The sequence below is a fragment of the Homo sapiens genome, chromosome 1 (genome assembly GCF_000001405.40).
Source record: "Homo sapiens chromosome 1, GRCh38.p14 Primary Assembly".
Classification (NCBI taxonomy): domain Eukaryota; kingdom Metazoa; phylum Chordata; class Mammalia; order Primates; family Hominidae; genus Homo; species Homo sapiens.
The window spans coordinates 111,560,683-111,584,462 of NC_000001.11; the positions used below are offsets into that span (position 1 = coordinate 111,560,683).

The window sequence follows — 23,780 nt, forward strand, 5'->3', positions numbered from 1 at the left end:
GGACCCACTTTGTTGCCGGAGCTGGTTTTGAACTCCTAGCTTCAAGTAATGCTCCAGCCGCAGCCTCCAAAAGTGCTGGGATTACAGGCACACACCACAGCACCTGGCTGGGTAAATAGTTCTTGATCGTCTTAGAGACCAAGGAAAATGTATCCAGCCAATTTCTCTCCATCCTCCCAAATCCTTGCCAGGCCTTTCCTCTTGCTTCAGGACCTGTAGCCCAATTTGCTCTTCCTCCTGTAACAACCGCACCAGATCTCTGGCTGGTCCAGAAGTCAGGTGAAAGAGTACTGTCATCCTCTGAAAGCCCATCCTTTACTAGGCTGAGTTTTGCTTTGTGTCCAGCGAACAAGGCTGACTTGAAAGAGGACCATACCCTGAAGAAGAAAATAATAGGACTTTCCATCTTCAAAGCTCCTCCCTACACAATTTTGTTTGTTGGTTTGTTTGTTTGTTTTTGAGACAGGGTCTCCCTCTGTCACCCAGGCTGGAGTGCAGTGGCACGATTGTGGCTCACTGCATCCTCAACCTCCCAGGCTTAGATGATCCTCCCACTTCAGCCTCCCAAGTAGCTGGGAGTACAAGTGCACACCACCACGCCTGGCTAATTTTTGTATTTTTTGTAAAGACGGGGTTTTGCCATGTTTCCCAGGCTGGTCTCAAACTCCTGGGCTCAAGCGATCCGCTTGTCTCAGCCTCTCAGTGCTGGGATTACAGGCGTGAGCCACCGTGCCCAGCTCCAATCATTAATTTTAGATGGAGGATCTGGTGGCCAGCTGGCAGCTATTATTAACATGTGACACAGAAGCAGATTGTGTATGTATTGGGGGAAGGAGGGAGGAAGGGAGGAGGAAATACAGACTGAGATACAGAGGTCATAGTCTCCACATCAAGGCCACATGGTCAGGTCAAACACAGAGCAGAAGGTCACAGAATTTTATTCAATCATAGGCCATTACTCTTCTCTCCTACTGCTCACTACTATAGAATTTTTTGTAATTTTTCCTTCTCATTTATGGAAGTGTCTCTTAATGGAGTCTTTCTCTCATATGTGTGTGTATTTGTGTGTATGTGTGTGTACGTATAATTGGAAGAGGGCCCTGTGTTGGGTCCATTCTGTCAGAAGTATGTCTGAATTTAATCCCCTTTCTCCATTCCCACGGCTATAGTCCTAACTCAGGGCCAAGCATTTTTGGCCCGGACTTTTTCAACACTCCTCCCCATCTCCTCCTTGCCCCTGGCCTCTCCCTACTGCATTTACCCTCCCTACTGACACCAGGTCATCCCTAGTTTAAATTTCTGCTTACGATAGAATTCAAACCCTCCACACTCTGAACCCAAATTAACTTTTCAATCTTTTTTCTCAACTGGGACAGCCACCCCACCCTGTGATTCAATAACATCATATGTGTCTCCAGGTCTTTGCTTGTGCCATTTCTTTTCTATGAGATGGTCTTTTCTTGTGGGCAACGTGGACAAATCTTAGCTATTCTTCAGATACGCCATTTCCTCTGTGAAATTTCTTCTGACCCCACCACTTCTTCCCCTATGTTCCACATCCATATCATTTTGTACATAACCCTTAGAACAGCACTTCAGTATTTCAATACAGTTATGTGTCTGTTTCCTCAACCATAATAGGAGGTCAAGAATTATACCTTATCTTTGACCCCTAGAACCTGTTGGTAGAGTTCAGTAAGAGTTTTAAAACTGTTGTCTGTGTGGTTAAATTAAACAAATAACCATAGAAATAAAATGTTAATCATTATTGGTCATGTACACCTGCATTTGTGTCCATCAGATTTCCTGAACAAAAATCAAAATGTGTGGTCTGAAAATGTGACAGATGATTTGGAAGTGGAAAATGTCCTAGAAAATTTGTGTCATGCTTGTCCCATACTTGTGTCCCATAAACATCCCACCAACATTTCAGGACTAAAATTGCCAATATTCCCTCCCTCTACCTAAACCCACTGCCATGTTTCAAATGAAAGTAATCCATTGTGAATCCAAGAAAATAAATTGCCTCTATATTGCTGTTTACTTCTCTGCCTGGATCAGGAGGCCATACACCTTTCTGTTCCTCTTGATAGGCTGGAAGACTAAAACCAAGATTAGCTTTGAATTACTCTGCTTTCTTTGGTTTGCTTTTAGTTCTCAATCAATCAAGTACTTTAGAAAAGCCCAATACAAGTAGATGCTTAGCCTTGTGCTGGTAGCTATTGCCAAAAAGATACATTGATTAGTCTCTTACTATGTACCAGGTACTGGGTTAAGAACTTTAGATAGATTATCTTTTGAAATTCTCACAACAGCCTTTTATAAATTATTATTATAATGTCAATATTGTGGATGAGAAAACTAAGGCTTAAAGAGAGTAAGCAGCGTACTCAAAGTCCTACACAGCTAGTAAGTAAGCAAAACTAACTTTAAACCCAATACTGAGGCTGGGCACAGTGGCATGTGCCTGTAGTTCCAGCTACTCAGGTGGCTGAGGCAGGAGGATCGATTTAGCCCAGGAGGTTGAGGCCACGATGAGCCATGATTAGCACCACTGTACTACAGCCAGGGCAAAACAGTGAGATCCTGTCTCAAAAATAAATAAATAAATAAATAAATAAACCCAGTACTGAAGTCTGTGCTCTTAACAACAAGCAGCTTACTGTCTATCTGGGGAGATAAGACATTCACATATGAAATAATTGGAAAACAGTATTCCTTGAAATGTCAGGATGTGGCTCCTTAAGTTCTCCAAGGCCAGATTGAGATTTGTTTTTCTGAACCTTGAGGGACATTCGGGAGAAACGAGCCTGAGTTTTATATAACAAAATAAAAGTTTACAAGAGCCCTGAGTTATATACAATAAATTCAGTGATCGAAGGTGTAGGGTAGGTAGACAAGAGAATTCATGGGAAAATGCCTCCAGAGCTAATAACTTGTATGTGTCAAACACTTTCCAGTTCACAGAGCATTTTCACGTATATTATGTCACATCATCTTCACAACCCTGTGGAATACAAATTATCTCTATTTTACACGCTAGGACAAAGCATTGATTAAGTAGCTTGCCCCATATCATGAATAAATGTTCCAAAGTGGTCAGTATGCAGACTCAGACCCCAACCTCTGCCTCCCAGCAGCTATATTTTCTGCTATGACTCACTGTGACTCAGGACTCAAGCAGCCCAGTGTCCAGTCTGGCTGCTCTTCCCAGGAGCTTTCCCACCTGGCCTCCTTCTGCTCAATGGGTCCTGCTGGAGACCCTTCCATTGGTCCAACTGGTGGTCTCTACCAACTGCCACAGAAGCTTCCAACAGCCACATTCCACCCATCCAACCCTTCTGCCATTAGAGAACCAGGAATTCCCTGTTTTGGGGGGTAGAGAATTGGACATACTCATAAAGCCTTAAGCTCCTAAAACTCATGACTATCTTTTTACTCCTGCCTCAAGTTTTACACATAAATCAATGAAAATCTGGTCATTGTGTGGCTTTCCAAGCCATTTGGACATTGTGAAACTTGAAATGAGAGAAACATTGAAATTTCTGGAACTCTACTTCTGAGTACCTTATTGCCTTTTCCCATTCCCTAACCTTCCCTGTGATAGTCTTAACATTCCTGCTGTCAATAAATATTTATCAAGCACCTGTTAGGTGCCAGAAACTATTCTAAGTTGGGAGTATAGGCCTAGCTTGGTGGCTTATGCCTATATTCCTATTTGGGAGGCTGAGGTAGGAGGATCACCTAAGCCCCAGAGATTGAAGATGCTGTCAGCCATGATGGCACCACCACTGCACTCCATCCTGGGCAACAGAGTGAGACCCCAACTCTTTTTTTTTTTTTTTTTTGAGACGGAGTCTCACTCTGTTGCCCAGGCTAGAGTGCAGTGGCACGATCTCGGCTCACTGCAAGCTCCACCTCCCGGGTTCACACCATTCTCCTGCCTCAGCCTCCCAAGTAGCTGGGACCACAGGCGCCCACCACCACACCCGGCTAATTTTTTGTATTTTTAGTAGAGATGGGGTTTCACCGAGTCAGCCAGGATGGTCTCGATCTCCTGACCTTGTGATCCATCCGCCTCGGCCTCCCAAAGTGCTAGGATTACAGGCGTGAGCCACCACACCCGGCCTGTGAGACCCCAACTCTTAAAAAAAAAAAGTTACTTAGGTGAATGCATCACTGATCACCCCAGAAAAAGCCCCCCATGCTTGCTATCATGAAACTTGCATTACAGTCAGGACAGACTAACTAAATAATTAACATGCCAAATGGTGATGGACATTGTGATGAAAAATAAACTTAGGAAATTAACTGGTGGAATGGGGTCTATGTTGGAAAGAAGTTGGTCAGGGAAGGCAGATTTAATAAGACACCTAAATGCAGTAAGGGAAGAAGCGAAGCCAATTGGCCCTCAAGAGAAGGGTTTTCCAGGCACAGAGAACATAATGCAAAGGCCCTAAGCTTCACTCATACTTAGGTTATTCACAGAATGGGAAGGAGGCCAGTGTGGCTGGAGCAGAATGAACAAAGGGGGGGAGTGTGGTAGAAGATGAGGTCAGAGTGAGCAAGTGAGGGACCTGATTTTGTAATGCCTCATAGGCCCATAGAAGATTGTTGTTTTTCAGGCATTCAACCTCGTTCAAACAAACCAAGCAATTATTTTAGGCCAGAATTGTTGGGTGCTGATGATACAGAGATGAATAAGACAAAGGCGTTACTGTCAAGAAGCTGAGTCTGATGAAGAACAGAGACAAGTAAGCAGACAGCTATATCACAGTGTAACTGGTACTGCAAGAGGGTTAAGCCCTGATTCCTGTAGTAACATATGGAGGGCACCTACTGCAGATGGGATGTCAGAGAAACTGAAGTCTAAACCTGTGCCATTCAGAATGGGGTGATTAAAGATGTGAAATGTGACTAGTATGGCTGGGGAACCAAATGTTTAATATTAATTAATTTAAATATAAAACTGAAGCAGTGTGAAGCATTTTTCCTTTAAATTCAACCTTACAGTTTTGGTAGGACTACTTCTACTTTTGTCATTGCATCCCATAAGATTTCATGATTGTTTTGTTAGTGCTCATGTACTTTTTACTTCTACTTTCAAAAAATGTGGCTACTACAAAATCTACAATTAAATAAATATGTGGCTCACATTATATTTCTACTGGACAGCACATTATATTTCTACTGGACAGCACTAATCTAAACTCAAAGTGGAAGAGACAAACCAGGGATGTAGAAGAAACCTCAAGGCAGAGGGTCTACATGTGCCAACGTCCAGATCACAAAGAGAGCATGGCACCTTCGAGGAGGAACAAATAACTCAGAATGATGAGTCCTGAAGTGCCAGCAAGCAGGTAGGCGGAGATGAGGAAGAAAAAATAAACAGAAGTTGGGTCTGAAGGTCTCGTGTGTTATTTAAGGGAATTTGAACTTCATTGTGAGTATAACAGGGAGCTACCGAGGGAAGACACCCAGCCAGCTGGGATTGTTGCAAAGGTCATTCTGGCTATCATGTGGAGCATACACTGAAGTGGGGCAAGAATGGAAGGAGGAAAACCAGTTAGTGCTGGTTGCAAAAATGAGGCAAGAGTCGGGGGCAGTGACAGTGGAGAAGAGAGAAGTGGGCTAATGTGAGACATTATGAGAGGTCAAGTTGGCTAGACTTGTCATTGGATAGGTATGAAGAATGAGGGTAACAGGATGGCTTAAAGATCAGTCCCTAACACTGTAGGCTCTGAGGAGCAAATGACTACTGCCCTCCAAAGCTGGGTGTCCAAGCAAATGACTGAGCTCCTAAAGGGATGCGGGGTGTGAGGGCTGACTTCAGTGGCCATATTTCCCCCTGACCGTAAACATTATGAATAAAGAAACATCACCTGGAATTTCACCTGGGCATCTTGTTTGTCTTTGATTAGTATAATTTTTGGAAGTTAATGTATTCCATGCTGCCAGGTACACTGCTCCAGCATTTTCATTTCCTTTGATCAGATGATGGTTAAGTGACAAGATTATATCTCTCAAAAATAATCTCAGGAAAGGAGAAATGTACTTGGGGTTCTTCCTTCTCCTCCAATGGCAAACAGGGAACATAAATTAAATAGAGTCACACTCCATCTCAGCAACCCAGGGGCGTGCCCAGGTTTTGTGGAGCCTAAAATTTATATAGTTGGTGGTTGGGTTTTTTTTTTTTTTTTGGAGGGGGGAGGAGGAAGGGTCTCTTTAAGTAAAATAATACCCAATTATGAATTTAAAATCACTAGGTAGGTTCTCATGCAAATGAGGGGCCCTGACACTTAAGCTTCATTAGCGTCATGGTATATCGATAGTTTTAGGAGGCCATATTTTTTCATCCATTGAACATGTATCAGCTGATGGGTTATGGGCACTGAGCAGGACATAGGGATATAAACATGAATAAGAACAGACATAGGCCCCGCCCTCAAGAAGTCCACCATTTAAAGCAGGAGATAGATAAATAGGTCATTGTAGAACTACATTATGAATGCAGTTATAAGAGCTCTATCCACAGAGTATAGTGGGTGCAGAGAGGAGGAGAACTCAACTCACCTGAGGTGAAAGGTGCTTGGGTATCTTACACCAGCAGGATGTGTAAGATACGTGAATTACTTAAACACTAGGTAGAAAATAGGTTTTGGATAATATTTTGTGCCCCATGAAGCTGGAAACTTTGTCAGCTAAAAGTAGAAAGGCCTTAAATGGCAAATCCAGTTCTTGCTAAAAGTCTCATCACTGCCAAGATTAACTCTGTACTACTAGCTGGAGATTCTCCCCAGAATAAAATGACAATCCTATTGTGGACTGAACTGTGTCCCCCCAAAATTCATCTATTGAAGCCCTAGCCCCAAAGGTAACTGTATTTGGAAATAAGGTCTTTATGGAGGTAACTGAGGTTAAATGAAGTCCTGAGGGTAGGACCCTGAGCTGATAGTTTGGGTGTCCTTATAAGAAGAGGAAGAGACACCAGAGACATATATGTGTCTCTCTGTCACTCTTACTCTTTCTCTATCTTCCCCACCACAACCCCCAACCTCTGCAGGGCAGTGGAAAGGCAGAGGAAAGGCCTTGCCAGAACATACTGACAAAGTGACTCTCTGTAAGCCAGGAAGAGAGTCCTCACCAGAAACCAAATTTTCTGTCACCTTGATCTTGGTCATCCAGCCTCCAGAACTATGAAAAAATAAATTTCTGTTGTTTAAGCCACCCAGTCTGTGGTACTTTGTTGTGGCAGCTTGAGCAGACTAATAAAGATCTTTAGACAAACATGGTCCATTTCTCCCTATGCCTGGCCCCTGAGCAGAATACCAGAAACAGTGGGCCATTGCTGTGCCTCCTTGTCCATACTTCCAGGGGAAATGCAAGAATGATGTTTAGTGTCCTTTTACCACATTGGGCTTTATTCCTTCCTTCTCACACCTTAGCCCCTCTAGGCTACTCTTAGGGTCATAGTCACTGTGTTAGTCTGTTCTTGCATTACTATAAAGGAATACCTGAGGCTGGGTAATTTATAAAGAAAAGAGGCTTAATTGGTTCATGGTTCTGCAGGCTGTACAGGAAGCATGGCTCTGGCATCTCTACTCAGCTTCTAGTGAGGCCTCAGGGAGCTTTTGTTCATGGTGCAAGGCAAAGCAGGAGCAGGCAGGTCACATGGCCAGTGAGGAACCCACACGTGGTGGGGAGGAGGGCAGGCTCTTTTAAACACCCAGATCTCAAGTGAACTGAGCAAGAACTCACTCATCACCAAGGGGATGCTAAACCATTCAGGAGGGATCCACCCCCATGATCCAATCACTTCCCACCAGGCCCCACCTCCAACACTGGGATTCGCATTTTTCAACATGAGATTTGGAGGAAATGAACATCCCAACCATATCAATCACAGCTAGCTAATGATTCTTTGCTCATTCATTAGGGAGGTAGCCTAATAATGCTGAAAGAGTTCTGGTAATACATTTGACCCCTAAACAACACAGGTTCAAACTGCACAGGTCCACTCACATGCAGATTTTTTCAATAAAAGTTACACTGAGTATGCCTGCCTCTCCTGCCTCCCTTCCACTTCCTCCATCTCTTCCGCCCCTGCCACTCCTGAGACAGTAAGACCAACCTCTCCTCTTCCACCTTCTTCTCCTCAGCCTACTCAACATGAAGATGAGGAGGATAAAGGCCTTTGTGATGATTCACTTCCACTTAATTAATAGTAAATACATTTTCTCTTCCTTATGATTTTTAATAACATTTTCTTTTCGCTAGCTTACTATAGTATAAAAATACAATATATAATACATATAATATACAAAATTTTATTTTGCATATTATTGACTGTTTATGTTGACTGTGTTATCAGTAAGGCTTCTAGTTAACTGTAGACTGTTAGTAGTTAAGTTTTGGGAAAGTCAAAAGTTACACTTGGAGGCCGGGCATGGTGGCTCACGCCTGTAATCCCAGCACTTTGGGAGGCCGAGGTGGGCGGATCACGAGGTCAAGAGTTTGAGACCAGCCTGAGCAACATAGTGAAACCCTGTCTCTACTAAAAATACAAAAATTAGCCATGAATGGTGGCGTGCACCTACAGTCCCAGCTACCTGGGAAGCTGAGGCGGGGGAATCTTGAGCCCAGGAGGTGGAGGTTGCAGTTAGCCGAGATCGCACCATTGCACTCCAGACAGAGTGAGACTCCGTCTCCAAAAAAAAAAAAAAAAAAAGTTACACTTGGATTTCCGACCGTGCCAGGGGTCAGCACCCCTAACCTAACCCCTTCATTATTCAGGGGTCAACTGTACTTAGAAATAGCCTAGCTCAGCTGCTGTACTGGGTGCAAGGTCCCAGGCAAATCAAGTTCTGTCTCTGTACTAGAAAATTAAGGACATGAGCTAGATTATTCCTAGGCTGTCTTCTACTTGGGTGACTCCAGGGTTCTAAACTGTTATGTTTCTGGGGTTCACTTTTAAGAGCCTCCAAAGACTTCATGAATGTCTCCAAGGCCCACATAAAGGAATCATTCTCTAAGATGGGGAGGTACCTTTGGCCAAGAGGTCTTCCCAGAAGTCTTCAGATAGTGTTTGGTATACATGTAGCTGTACTACCTGCTCAGAAGTATTAGAATCTCCCACTTTTTAGCACTTTTGGATCCACAAAATGTTTGGGGGACACAGGAATTCAAAGGTCTCACTGGAAGGTTCTGATTAACAAGAAATATTAAGAAGTCTTTTCCCAGTGAGAACAGGAGTCTCTGTGGTATTCCTTCCACTTGGACAGGGAAAATATAAAAGCAAAGTGTAAAACGTCAGGGAGGAAACTGCTTGAGTGCTATGTCCTGACTGTGTAGAGAGGGGAACCTTCTTAATGTCCCAGGGGACAGGCAAAGTTGTGCCAACCTAACCTGCATTTTGGCATGAGATCTCAAATGCCCTGTGAGCAAACAGCCAGCACCCTGCTCTCACTGCCATGCCAGCGTCATGATTGGTGAGTGTGGCAGATCCTCTGAGGCTTCAAAACCAAGCCTCAGAGGCCACGTAAGAGGCAAGGATCCATTTCACAGTCCTATTGTCTGTGTGCCTGAGAATCATAGAGTGAAAATACACTAAAGTTGAAAGGGATTTCAAGGTCAAACCAAGGTTGAAGGTTGGGCACCTATCAAAATGGCTTTGAATAGTGCATTTTTTCATGTGCGTTTGAACCCGCAGTTGATTGCAAACTCTGTAAGTAACCATCTATTATTTTTGTGTCTCCTCCTTGGTACTTAGTATGTTCATTGTATTTTCTGATGCCAAATGTGGGGGAGCAGGCAGAGGAGGGATTCCACACTGATTCTTCAATTCTCCAACACCAACTTGGTGTCCCTCTTAGTCCATTTTGTGCTGCTATAAAAGAATACCTGAGACGGGGTAATTTATAAAGAGGTATATTTAACTCATGGTTCTGCAGGCTAAGAAGTTCAAGGGCATGGCCCTGGCTTCTGGTGAGGGTTTTTGTGCTGTCATAACATGACAGAGAAGGTCAAAGGGGAAGCAAACATGTATGAAGAGAGAATAGCCTGAGGGACATCTGGCTTTATAACAAATCACTCCCGCAGGAACTAACCCAGTCTGGCCAGAGCAAGAACTCACTCACTAAAGAGCAGCACCAAGCCATTCATGAGGGAGCCACCTCCGTGACTCAAACAACTCCCACCAAGCGCCACTTCCCAATTCAGCCACATGGGGACCAAATTTCAACATGAGTTTTGGTGAAGACAAACCATAGCAATGTCCAACAATTCAATTCAATTCTGACACTAACTACTGGAGCTGGCACAGACCCCACAGGGTAAGGGCTCAGTCTCACAAGACTGCCCCCACTTCAGGTGCCCAGGCTACCTGCACTTCTGCCTGACTACAAATTCAAGGGTTCCCATGACTCCCCCTCAGGTTTAATCACTGGCTAGAATGACTCACAGAATTCAGGGAACCACTTTGCTTACATTTACTAGCTTATTTTAAAAGGTGCAACTTAGGAATAGCCAAATGGAAGAGATGTCTGGGGCACAGTATGGGGCAGGGCACGCAAAGTTTCCACACTCTGTCCAGGTGCACCCTGTCCCAGCCCATCCCTGTGTTCACCAGCCCAGAAGCTTCCTGGGTCCCATTGTTCAAGACTTTTTATAATCAATTTCAAGAGCCCTGCCTCCCACCCTTTCTGAAGTTCAGGGGATGGGACTGAAAGTTCAGCCTTTCTGGTGACCAGCCTCCATCCTGGAGATATCTAGGCGCTCCAACCTGAGTCACCTCATTAGCATAAATCCAGATGTGGTTAAAGGGGTTCCTTGTGAATAACAAAAGGCACTCCTGTCAGTCGGGAAGTTCCAAGGGTTTTAGGAACTTCTTGACTTGAACAAGAGACTAAAACTAAATATATTTTTTATTGTACCACAATTGCACACAGATTCTTAATTAAACATGTATCAGTTAATTCACTGACTAGCTTAGAACACAAGAAGCCTGATGAGGGGCTAAAAATGGCTAAGAAATCCCTTATCTCTAAAATCAGAAAGATTATGGGAAACCCTTTAGTTTGGGACAGGTCATTCTGCTAGAAGAACATATAACCCCAACTCCATACATAACCTTGAAGTTGGTGAGAGGATAGATAAAATGGCATGCATTTTTGGCTATTTTTGTAATTTAAAAAGGCTAAATTTCTGATTCGGGAGTTTTCCCAGATTTAGCTAATTATGAGGCTCTCTGATTACTCCTTATTCCCTGACCCTCTTTATTGAATCCTTGTGAGCTAACAGAATGACAGAAAGCAGGGGCTGCAGCACAGTGCCCTTGGCACCTCCTGCAGCTGAGAAACCTGCTATTTCCATATGCAGAAGCTTGCCAGAGCTGCATCTGAGCAAGCTGCGAAGAGACAACTGGCAGCAGAAAGATGCATCAGCACCAGGGAGGTATCAGAGCAGGTCAGCCAGGGTATGCTGCGGCAATCAATTATGTAGTAGGATTTGGCTGCCTTTCAGAAGCTTCTTTCACCACATTCCAAAGGCTCTTGCATTAAAAGGCACACAGCACTCTTTTCTCCTCAAGATGGCAAACTCAGAGAGGATTGCCTGGGCCACCCCACAGCTTCCTACCATTCAAGTTTCTTACATGTTGTGAATTGAAGCTGAGATTAAGGAAAGATGCTTGGAGGTTTGCAACTCAGGATTCCTCAGCCTGAAGTATCTCAAGAGATCATCTTGTTCATTTACAGCGTGCATGCCTACACTGAGAATGGACAATGCTTGAGATGTTCCATTTATCCCCTGATTCACTTCTCATCTTTGGAGGCAATAGGCTGGACCAGATTATTTCTACTTCAGCAGTAGAGACAGGCCTGGGTGAAGCCGAAGTTTCACCACCCCATCAATCTGCTCTGATTCCGAAGTTAGACCTATTTATGCAATGCTTGATCTTTCCACATCCTCTATCTTTTCGAGGCCCAGGCTAAGAAATAGGAGGATGACCAACTATCATGGTTTTCTCAGGACTGAAGAGGTTACTGGGACACAGAACTTTCTCTTTTTTTAACTTTTATTTTAGGTTCGGGGGTACATGTGCAGGTTTGCTATATAGGTAAACTCGTGTCACAGAGGTTTGTTGTACAAATTATTTTATCACCCCGGTACTAAGCCTAGTACCCAACAATTATTTTTTTCTGCTCCTCTCCCTCTTCCCACCCTCTACTCTTAGGTAGGCTCCAGTGTCTATCGTTCCCCTCTTTGTGTCCATGTGTTCTCATCATTTAGTTCCCACTTATAAGAAAAAATGTGCAGCATTTGGTTTTCTGTTCCTGTGTTAGTTTGCTAAGGATAATGGCCTCCAGCTCCATCCATGTTCCTGCAAAGGACATGATCTCATTCTTTATTATGGTTGCATAGTATTCCATGGTGAATATGTACCACATTTTCTTTATCCAGTCTATCATTGATGGGCATTTAGTTCATTCCATGTATTTGCTATTGTGAATAGTGCTCCAATGAATGTATGTGTGCATGTGTCCTTATGGTGGAACAATTTATATTCCTTTGGGTATATACTGAGTAATGGGACAAATGGTAGCTGTTTTTGGCTCTTTGAGGATCTGCCACACTGCTTTCCACAATGGTTAAACTAATTTGCACTCCCACCAACAGTGTATAAGGATTCCCTTTTCTGTGTAACCTCACCAGCATCTGTTATTTTTTAACTTTTTTTTTGCCTCCCGGGTTGAAGCAATTCTCCTGCTTCAGCCTCCAGAGTAGCTGGGACTACAGGGATGCGCCACAATGCCTGGCTAATTTTTGTAGTTTTAGTAGAGACAGGGTTTCACCATGTTAGCCAGGCTGGTCTCGAACTCCTGACCTCAGGCAATCTGCCCACCTCAGCCTCCCAAAGTGCTGGGATTACAGACATGAGCCACTGCGCCCGGCCTTGACTTTTTAATAATAGCCACTCTGACTGGTGTGAAATGGTATCTAATGTGGTTTTGATTTGCATTTCTCTAATGATCAGTGATATTTAGATTTTTTATATGCTTGTTGGCCACATGTATGTCTTTTTTTGAAAAGTGTCTTTTCATGTCCTTTGCCCATTTTTTAATGGTTTTTTTTTCTTGTAAATTTGTTTAAGTCCCTTATAGATGCTGGAAATAAGACCTTTGTCAGATGCATAGATTGCAAATATTTTCTCCCATTCTATACTTTGTCTGTTTACTCTGTTGATAGTATCTTTTGCTGTGCAGAAGCTCTTTAGTTTAATTAAATACCATTTATCAATTTTTGCTTTTGTTGCAATCGCTTTTGACATCTTCATCATGAAATATGTGACTGTTCCTATGTCCAAAATGATATTGCCTAGGTTGTCTTTCAGAGTTTTTATAGTTTTGAGTTTTACATGTAAGTCTTTAATCTATCTTCAGTTGATTTTTGTATATAGTGTAAAGAAGGGGTCCAGTTTCAATCTTCTGCATATGGCTAGCCAGTTCACCTAGCACTATGTATTGAATAAGGAGCCCTTTCCTCATTGCTTGTTTTTGTCAGCTTTGTCGAAGATCAGATGGCTGTAGGTGTGCGGCCTTATTTCTGGGTTCTCTATTCTGTTCCATTGGTCCATGTGTCTGTTTTTGTACCAGTGCCATGCTGTTTTTGTTACTCTAGCTCTGCAGCATAGCTTGAAGTTGGGAAGCAGGATGCCTCCAGCTTCATCCTTTTGCTTAGGATTGCCTTGGCTATTCAGGCTCTGTTTTAGTTCTATATGAATTTTAAAATAGTTTTCTCTAGTTCTGTGAAGAATGTCACTGGTAGTTTGATACGAATAGCACTGGATCTGTAAATTGCTTTGAGCAGTTTGGCCATTTTAATGATATTGATTCTTCTGATCCATGAACATGGAAGGTTTTTCCATTTGCTTGTGTTATGTCTGATTTCTTTGAGCAGCGTTTTGTAATTCTCACTGTAGAGATCTTTCACTTCTCCTGGGACACAGCACTTTCAGGCTAAAACTAGTAAAGTCCCAGACAAACTAAGATGAGTCAGTAACTGTAGTAAATAGTTGGAACTGACCTGAAACAAGTGTAGTACCAGATAGGTTTTTGGGAAGCCAAATTCAGGGGCTGGTTTTGTTTGGAAGGCAGTGGCTCTGCTATACTGTTTTTTTGAATTTGGCAAGAAATAATTATGTGATCTGTGGCTACACAAAAAAATGAATTGCTATAGCAGTAGATAGTGTAAGCATATAGACTCCAAAATAAAAATCCACAAACATATATGTTTTATGAGAGAAGGAATAATTATTTCTGTACTCTATCACTTACTACAATGCAAGCCACATAGTAAATATTCTAATAAATATTTGTGAAGTAAATGAATAAATGAATTCCAGCTCTGTCTGGCTCTATCATTACTACCTGTATGACATTACCTAAGTTACTGAATTTCTTTCTTTCTTTCTTTCTTTTTTTTTTTGAGATAGAGTCTCACTCTGTTGCCCAGGCTGGAGTGCAGTGGCATGATCACGGCTCACTGCAACTTCTGCCTCCAGAGTGCAAGGGTTCAAGTGATTCTTGTGTCTAAAACCAAGTAGCTGGGATTACAGGCATGCATCACCACACTCAGCTAATTTTTGTATGTTTAGTAGAGACGGGTTTCGCCATGTTGGCCAGGCTGGTCTCAAACTCCTGGCCTCAAGTGATACGCCTGCCTCAGCCTTCCAAAGTGCTGGGGTTACAGGTGTGGGCCACCACACCCAGCCTGAAGGTACTAAACATCTTTAAGCTTCTGTTTCTTCATCTGTAAAATGGGGATGATAATAATTAGCCACTTCATAGTTGTTATGGGCTAAATGAATTGTGTCCCCCTGCCCAAGTTTATATGTTGAAGTCAACCCCCAATACCTCCAAGTGTCCTTATAGGAATTGGAAATATTGACACAGAGACACCAGGCACACGTGCACACAGAGAAAGACCATGTGAGGAGACAGTGAGAAAGTGGCCATCTGCAAGCCACAGAGAGAGGCCTTAGGAGACACCAAACCTGCTGACACCTTCATCTTGGAATTCTAGCCTCCAGAACTGTGGGAAAATAAATTTCTGCTGTTTAAACCACTCAGCCTGGGGCATTTTGTTATAGCAGCCTTATCAAACTAATACAATAGGAGAAATAATGTTCATAGATCACCTAGCACATGAATGCTCAGTAAATATTTCTAATACTAAAAATATCTGAGCAGGGCACTGAAAAATATATAATACACACAAAAACATACAAAAGGGAATCAGTAGAATTATTTTTCTACACCTGAGGACCTTGGGGGACAGAGAAAACTGAACCTGCCCTGCATACTATTCTCTGCACTGGGATCATGAAAGAGTGTATCCACAAATGACATTCTAGTCCAGAACATCTCAAACTTTAAAGTGCATATGGATCACCTGGAGAACGTGTTAAAATGCAAATTCTGGTTCAGTGGGTCTACGGTCTGCATTTCAAACAAGCTCCCAGTTGATTCTGATGCTACTGGTTACAGGACCACACCAGGCAACACTGAAGAAATAGGTTGCTGAGTCCTAAGGAGAGTTATAAACCCTTGGATACACAAGACACAAAACCAAATACATCGAGTGGCCAGAAAATACTCAGTAAATTGAATCCTATATTTGTATATATCATGACTAGAGATGGCAGTGCCACTTAAGTATATATATAATAATTCAGGACCATGGAGTTAAAGTGCTCAGGCAGGTAAAGTCATCTGGAGAATTCCTGAAGGAAGAAAGGAAGACACTTGATTCAGCAGGGGAAAATAAAGAAAACATTCTCTGTAGGAGAACCCGTCTGGGTTAAAGCGAACTTAAATAGTTCAAGTTGAGTTGTATTTAGTTCCTTACTTCCCTACCTTAATAAGTACAGGGGCGGCATTTGCTGCTCCTCTGGAAGGGTGAGGGGAGGGAGGAACGTGTGGGTGTGCTTATGGCACTGTTTGCTCCGGCTAGCTAATGTTTGGTTTCCTTATCTTTGGAGAGTGTAATGGGTGTTGGTGCCAGCTTGGAGGCCACCTGATCTCAATCAGACTCTAAAGTCATTAACGAAGCTACTAGGAGGTAGGCCTCCACGTGGCCTGCAGCCAGAGCTTTAGGAAGCGGGAGTATGGAGAGGGAAAACAAACTCAACCTTGGGTTACCTAAGATGAACATCTTTATACTAGAGCTCCAGAATCTGCATCACCAAGGCTCTTACTATGCTCCAAGATGTGGTCCCTTCCAGGTACCTGACCACACACAGGTCAGACTTTCCTTGTCCCCTGAGACCCAGGAAGTTCCATGGGGCAATCAGATGTGGATCCAAATACTTGGGGATGTTTATGTTTTTAGTGGTTTTTCTAGAGTTGGAGGATGAATTATGAAACAATAGCAGAAATTTGCTGAGGTGCGGTGGCTCACGCCTGTAATCCCAGCACTTTGGGAGGTCGAGGCAGGCGGATCACCGGAGGTTAGGAATTTGAGACCAGCCTGGTCAACATGGCAAAACCCTGTCCGTACTAAAAATACAAAATTAGCTGGGTGTGGTGGCATGCGCCTGTAATCCCAGCTACTTGGGAGGCTGAGGCAGGAGAATCCCTTGAACCCAGGAGGTGGAGGTTGCAATGAGCCGAGATCGCACCACTGCACTCCAACCTGGGCAACAGAGCAAGACTCCATCGCAAAAAAAAAAAAAAAAAAAAAAAAAAAGAATAGCAGAAATTCCAGACCCTGAAAACTTGGATTTATCCGCTGACATATGGGTATTCTTTTGTAGAAACATGAGTTTCTTGTATATTAAGTGGTCAAGATGATCCCTGATGGTAATTTCTCCATAAACAGATTTTTTTAGGGCTTCATTCAGACTGTAAGATCAAATATATTATTGGGTTTAGATTAGGAGCTTGGATTTTGGAGGTTTGCTAGCTGTTTCACCTGGGCAAGATCCTTAACCTCTCTGAAGTCTCAATTTCCCAAATTTAAAAAATAATATTTATATAATGGATTAAATGAGACATAAAGCATATAAAGTGATTGGCTTTTATTATAATTCTTTCTCTTCTTATCCCACTTAATTACATTCTTCCCATGAAGTAATGTCAGGCTCTATAAAGGCAGTTGGGGCTGTGGGCCTATATCCCTCCTCTCCACCCATCCTAAAGTCTACTACACTGCTTCTCTGTTAGAGAATATTTAATTGAGCATCTCCTGTATGTCAACTAAAAGACACAGTCTTTGCACGTAAAGGAGTCCACAGTCACTTAGAGGGAGACAAGATGAGTCAGCAAATAAATATAATCAAGTATCTCAGGTGCTCTGGCAAATGTCTAAATGGACAAGGAGTGATGAAGCAGAGCATGTTTACTTTTAGTTTGGAGACTTAAATAAGAAAAGGATTAAAAGTGGATGTGTTTGAACTGAGTTTTGAGAAATGAGAATTGGCCAGGTATTCTAGAGTGTGTGTGTTGTGTGTGGGCACTCGGTGGAAGGGGAGGATTGGTGGGCATGGGTCACCAAGAAACAAGCAACAGCATGGCTTGTCAGGGACCTGGAAGAGGTTTGAAGTTGCCAGAGGATGGGATGTGTGGGGAAGGTGGTAGAGCAATAGATAAGGTTACACAGCTAGATCAAGGTCAACTCACAGAGGGTCTTGTAAGCCATACTTAGAAGTTTGGGCAATGAAAAGCCAGTAAGAGGGGAGTGGTTTGGTCAGACATATGGGTGTTATAAGGAAAATTTTTTCTCTAGTTGCAAAAATAGTTTATTTTCAATGGGGAAAAAAAACCACAAAAAAAAATTACATATGAACTCACTACTAATACCCAACTCATAATGTACTGGAGTGAGTTTTCCAGAGAGAATAACAGAGTGTAAAAGGAAAAAAAAAGGTTTTTTCCTACTCTCTCTGCTCCCTATTTACTCAATACAGAACACTTCTTAGACCAGATGTGTGTTTTTCCCCGTACACCAAGCAATTCTCCAGCAGACCCTCTCTGGGTATCCTAGAATCCAATTCTGATTCTATCTACCTGGATATAGCATCAGATCCCAGTGGTTGTGGGCTCAGTCCCACAAAACTGCTCTCACTTCAGAGGCCAATTGCAAGTCTGGGCCACCTTTATTTTTCACCAACCGGCTATAAACTGAGATTCCCTCAACTTTCTGCTGGGATTTGATTAATTTGCTGGGATGGCTCATGGAATTCAGGGAAACATTTACCAGCTTATTAACTGTTTTACCAGTTTAGTACAAACGATATTACAAAGGATACAGATAAACAGCCAGACGAAGAGAAGCACAGGGCAAGGTATGGCAGAGCGGTTGCAGAGCTTCCACGCCGTGTCTAGGTGAGCCACCCTCCTGGCGTCTCCTAGTGTTTAGCAGTCCCAAAGCTCATCAACTCTTGTTTGAGTGTTTATAGAGCTTGATGTTCAGCAACACCCTCCCTCCCCTCCTTGGAGGTTGGAGGGTAGGGTTGAAAGTTCCAATCCTCTAATCACTTGGTCTTTCTGGTGACTGGTCCTATCCTGAGACTAACTAGGGCCCCCACACTAAGTCACCTTATTAGTATAAATGCTGGAGTTATTAAAGGAGCTCATTATGAATAACAAAGATGTTCCTATCACCCAGGAAATTCTAGGGGTTTTAGAAGCTATGATAGGAACCAGGAAAAAAGACCAAAGATATTTTACATCATATCACAAGGGGAAAGGGAGCCAACATGTACTGAGCTATGTGCCAGGTACTTTATGAAGTTTATCTCATTTAATGTAACACTGAGGTTTGCTGCTCCATGTGGGTCCACAGCCAGAGGGTTTTGAAGAGGGCCTAGAGAAGGGGAAGAATAAACTCAGTCTTGCATTACAGAGGCTCCTCAACTTATGATGGGGTCACATTGTTGTAAGATGAAAATATCAACTAAGTCAAAAATGTATTTAACACACCTAACCTACCGAACATCATAGCTTAGCCTAGCCTACCTTAGACAAACTCATAACACGTATGTTAGTTTACCTTGAGTAAAATCATCTAACACAAAATCTATTTTAAAATAAAGTGTTGAATATCTCCATTTATTTATTTATTTATTTATTTATTTATTTATTTATTTGAGATAGTCCTGCTCTGTCGCCCAGGCTGGAGTGCAATGGTGTGATCTCGGCTCACTGCAAGCGAGTCTCTTGCCTCAGCCTCCCGAGTAGCTGGGATTACAAGTGCACATCACCATGCATGTCTGGCTAATATTTTTGTATTTTTAGTAGAGTCAGGGTTTCACCATGTTGACCAGGCTGGTCTCGAACTCCTGACCTCAGGTGATCCACCTGCCTTGGCCTCCCAAAGTGCTAGGATTACAGGTGTGAGACACTGCTCCCGGCTGCCTGTAACTTATTGAATACTGAACTAAAAGTGAAAAACATAATAGTTGTATGCGTACTCAAAGTATGGTTTCTACTGAATGTGTATTGCTTTTATACCATTCACAAAGTCAAAAATTGGTAAGTTAGGGACTGTTTGTATTAGGTAAACTAAGGAGAACATCTTTACAAAAGTGCCAAATATTTGCATCGCCAGGATCTAATGCTCTCACTGTGCTCCATGGCTAGATAAGATGGAGCATGGGAAGGTGGGAGGAGAAGCAACTTTGGGAAGAGGAGATGAGGATAATAAGTTCTTTTTGAGATGGTTGTAAGGCACACACGTGGATGTATAGGTTTAGTACTCAAAAGAGAAATCGGGGCTGGAAGTAAAAACTTTGGAATTGGCATTTACATTAGATTTAAAGCCATGAGAATAAGTGAATGTGCCCCAGAAAGACAGAAGAGAGAAGATCAAGACTAGAGCCCTAGTTGCCGGGCGTGGTGGCTCAAGCCTGTAATCCCAGCACTTTGGGAGGCCAAGGCGGGCGGATCACGAGGTCAGGAGTTTGAGACCAGCCTGGCCAAGATGGTGAAACCCTATCTCTACTGAAAGTACAAAAATTAGCCAGGTGCAGTGGCAGGTGCCTGTAATCCCAGCTACTCGGGAGGCTGAGGCAGGAGAATCGCTTGAACCCGGGAGGCAGAGGTTGTAATGAGCCGAGATCGTGCCACTGCACTCTAGCCTGGGCGGCAGAGCAAGACTGTCTCAAAAACAAAAAAACAAAAAACAAAAAAAAAACAACAAAAAACAGAATAGACCCCTAGAGAATGCCAGAATTTAAGAGGCAGAGCAAAGGAGATACCACTAGGGCCTGTGAAGGAGGGTCAAAGAAGAACCATGAAAGAAAGATCCTGGAATTCACCAACTGTCAAATGTCACACAGGCCAATCAAGATGAACAGTGCAAAGAGGACACAGGGTTTTGCTATTTCTCAGTGGGAGCTTTGCCTGGGCCCTTTATGAAGTGGGATGCAGGGAGCCTCACTGCAGCAGGTGGAAGAATGGATGGAAAGTGACGGTAAATGCAGTCTGTACTTTTAGAGAGCTTGACTATGATGGGAGACGGTTTTGTGGTGGATTGATTTGTTTTGCTTTTAAAGACTGGAGAAAATAGCATATTTTTATGATAGAAAGGAGCCAATAGTGGCTAAACATGAAGACTGGAGAGAGGGAATAACCAAGGTTGCAAAGTTCTACAGCAGTTTTTCTCAACCGGGGACATTCAGTATCTGGAAACATTTTTGGCTGTCACAACTGGGGTAGAGGAGTTGTTACCAGCATCTGCTAGACAGAGTCCAGGGAGGCTGCTAAATATCCTTTAATGTACAGCACAGCCCCTCATGACAAAGAATTATCTGGCCATTGCCAACAATGTGGAGGTCAAGAAACCCTATTCTAAAGGAAGAAAAAACAGACCAAGAATGCAAGTGATAGGATTAGCTTCCACCTGATATAACACAATGCATATTTGTTAAATAAATTAATGAATTTAAAATTCCATAAATAGATTCCATCCTGTTTCCTTTCATCTGGAAGCCCTATAACTTAAGCATGGCATAAAAAAATTGAATACTATGTAGGTACTGCAGACTCAAAGATAAGACACAAGCTCGTACTCTAAGTTTTGAATAAAATGATGCTGCCTAGAGAATTCAGGGAAGCCTTGGAAGATGGGAATAGAGAAATAAAATTGACTTTTATTAAGTGTCCACTTTATATAAGCACTTAAAATATGCTTTTATACAAGCACTTTATTTAGTTGTGTGATTTAATATACACCACACTCTGGTGAGTGAGATATTAGCTCCATTAACTAGGGAGGAAACAGAGTCACAGAGGTCAAGTTAACTTGTCCAAGGTCACTCATCTAGTGAGAAATGGAACCAAGATTTGAACCCAGTTAAGTCTCACCCTAAAATCTAAGTTGTTTCCATTGTACTATGCTGTCTTCATGCAATAACCAAGTCAAGTGACATCTCAGCCTTGAATGATGAGCAGGAATTTGCAAAACAAAGAGAGGGGAAGAGAGGACTGGGCATTCCAGATATTATGGAGCACATGCAAAGGCCCTGAGGTATGAAACAGTCGTTTGGTGAGGCTATGTGACTGAAATAAATGGCACAGGGCAGGGCAGGGGCAGAGGTGGACCACAAGGGGTGGAGAAGTACCATGGCAGCCATGTAGCTAAGTCTTTTCTAGAAGTCAGCAGCTCTTAATTTTAGCCTTTCCTGATGCTGTTCAAATAATTGAGCCTCCCTATCCTCTGTTTTACACTGTTTTTCTTTTGCCCAGTACTATATTTTTCATATTCCAAGCACAGAGGTGTCTAAATATTGGTTTGGGGTTTAGTAAATCTTTTTCTTTCCTATGACAGCAAAAACGAGCTATGTAACTTACAACTCCCTTGACTGAGACATTCATTTTACAAGCAAAGTGAGTTATGGATTAATTTGGGAATATTTAAGCTCCGGTTAAGCAGCAGTGGGCACACGATTGCCTAGAACATAAAACCAGGACAGTCAGGGAGCATCTCTAGCTTGTTAACTGTAATGCCAGATAAATGTCACCCTCTGCTCAGGCTTTTTAATAATTTATTAAAAAAATTAAAAGTACTCAGTTGTACTTCCTAAGGCATTTCCTGTTTAGAGGGTGTGTATTCTAACAGCTGTGTTAGAAAGTGTGACCTAAGAGCTTTCAGATTGCTTGTCCTTTGAAGCTACTGAGTGCCAAGCTAGGGGATTACTCCCACCTAGGCCAGAGCCTGGTCTCCCGGCCTGAACCTGGCTATCTTGGGTTCCCAGCTCCTACAACCATACAGTCTGTAATAACTGCAGAGCATGAAGGGTGCATGGAGGTCTAGAGGCCAATTCACTTTCATGGAAAGTATAATTTAATTGGAAAGTGGGAAAGAATAATGTTTACAAAGTATCTTGCAGAGATTTCTGTATTTCCGGATCACAGAGCAGAGGCTGACAGGCACAGATCACCACTGAACCTCTAAACATTCCTGTTCTCCCCAACCCCCAATGTCTTTCCCTGTCCTGGAAAAGTGCAAAAAAGCAGTATACATCCCAGGCTGCTGGACATATGCCCAATTATTCTCTAGGGCAAGAAGTCTACCCCTGATAGTGATATATATAAATGCTCATGCTTTAAAAAAAAAAAAAAAAAAAATACAGCAAGTTTAACCAGGCGCAATAGTTCACATCAGTAATCCCAGTGGCTGGGAAAGCTGAGGTAGGAGGATCACTTTTAGCCCAGGAGTTCAAGGCTGCAGTGAGCTATGATTGCGCCACTCCACTCCAGCCTGGGCGACACAGCAAGACCCCATTCAAAAAAAAAAAAATACAGTCAGTTTAAGCACGATGTATCATTTTCAGGTCACGAGTTCACTAATCTCTACTCCAGTTTATTTTTAAAATACGCAGTCATAGTTTCACAATTTCTATGTAAGTCTCATTTCACACAAAAGATTAATGCATAAAATTGTTTAAAATAGCATTATTTACAATGAAAATCTGAATTGCAAAAAAAAGCTGAACTAAAAAATAGACAAAAAATTAAATGCAATTTACAATCACAAGAGAATGGGTAAAGAAAGTTATGGTACATTAACAGTAGATATTTTGCAGCTATTAAACGTTATACTTAACAAGAGTAATAGTAACACTAGGAACGATTATATAATAATGTTGAATAAGCAAAACAAGATACACAACTGTCTATACAATTGTTATTTCTTTTTTTTTTTTTTTTTTTTTTGAGACAGAGTCTCACTCTGTTGCCCAGGCTGGAGTGCAGTGGCGCGATCTCGGCTCACTGCAACGTCCGCCTCCCAGGTTCAAGTGATTCTTCTACCTCAGCCTCCCTAGTAAGCTGGGATTACAGGCACCCACCACCATGCCCAGCTAGTTTTTGTATTTTTAGTAGAGATGAGGTTTCACCATGTTGGCCAGGCTGGTCTTGAACTCCTGACCTCAGGTGATCCACCCGCCTCGGCCTCTCAAAGTGTTGGGATTACAGGTGCGACCCACTGCACCTGGCCACAATTGATATTTCAACTGTGAATGTCATGCATAGAGAAATGATTGGAGATGTACAACAAGATGTACCACAGATTAATTTTACCACCAGAAAAGGCCAAATCTCCCTGTCTGTTTGCTTGGGCTGCTATAACAAAATACGTTACACTGGGTAATTTATAAACAACAGAAACTTACTGCTAATAGTTCTGGAGACTGGGTAGTCCAAGATCAAGGTGCCAGCAGACTCAGCATCTAGTGAGAGCCGGTTCTTCATAGATGGTGCCTTCTGTGAGTCCTTACA

At 42.6% G+C, this 23,780-nt stretch overlaps 2 protein-coding genes across 3 annotated transcripts in view; one reads left to right on the plus strand and one right to left on the minus strand.

Moving 5' to 3' along the window:
• TMIGD3 (transmembrane and immunoglobulin domain containing 3) overlaps positions 1–3,280 on the minus strand; it is an 80,615-nt gene extending 77,335 nt beyond the window's left edge. For both annotated transcript variants that reach the window (NM_001302680.2, NM_001081976.3), the window contains exon 1: positions 3,164–3,280. In NM_001302680.2, coding sequence (NP_001289609.1) covers positions 3,164–3,270 — 107 coding nt within the window. In that variant the 5' untranslated portion in view covers positions 3,271–3,280. The remainder of the gene's footprint in view (positions 1–3,163) is intronic.
• The window catches only part of RAP1A (RAP1A, member of RAS oncogene family), a 174,683-nt gene that overhangs the window by 18,674 nt on the left and 132,229 nt on the right, over positions 1–23,780 (plus strand). The window lies entirely within an intron of this gene.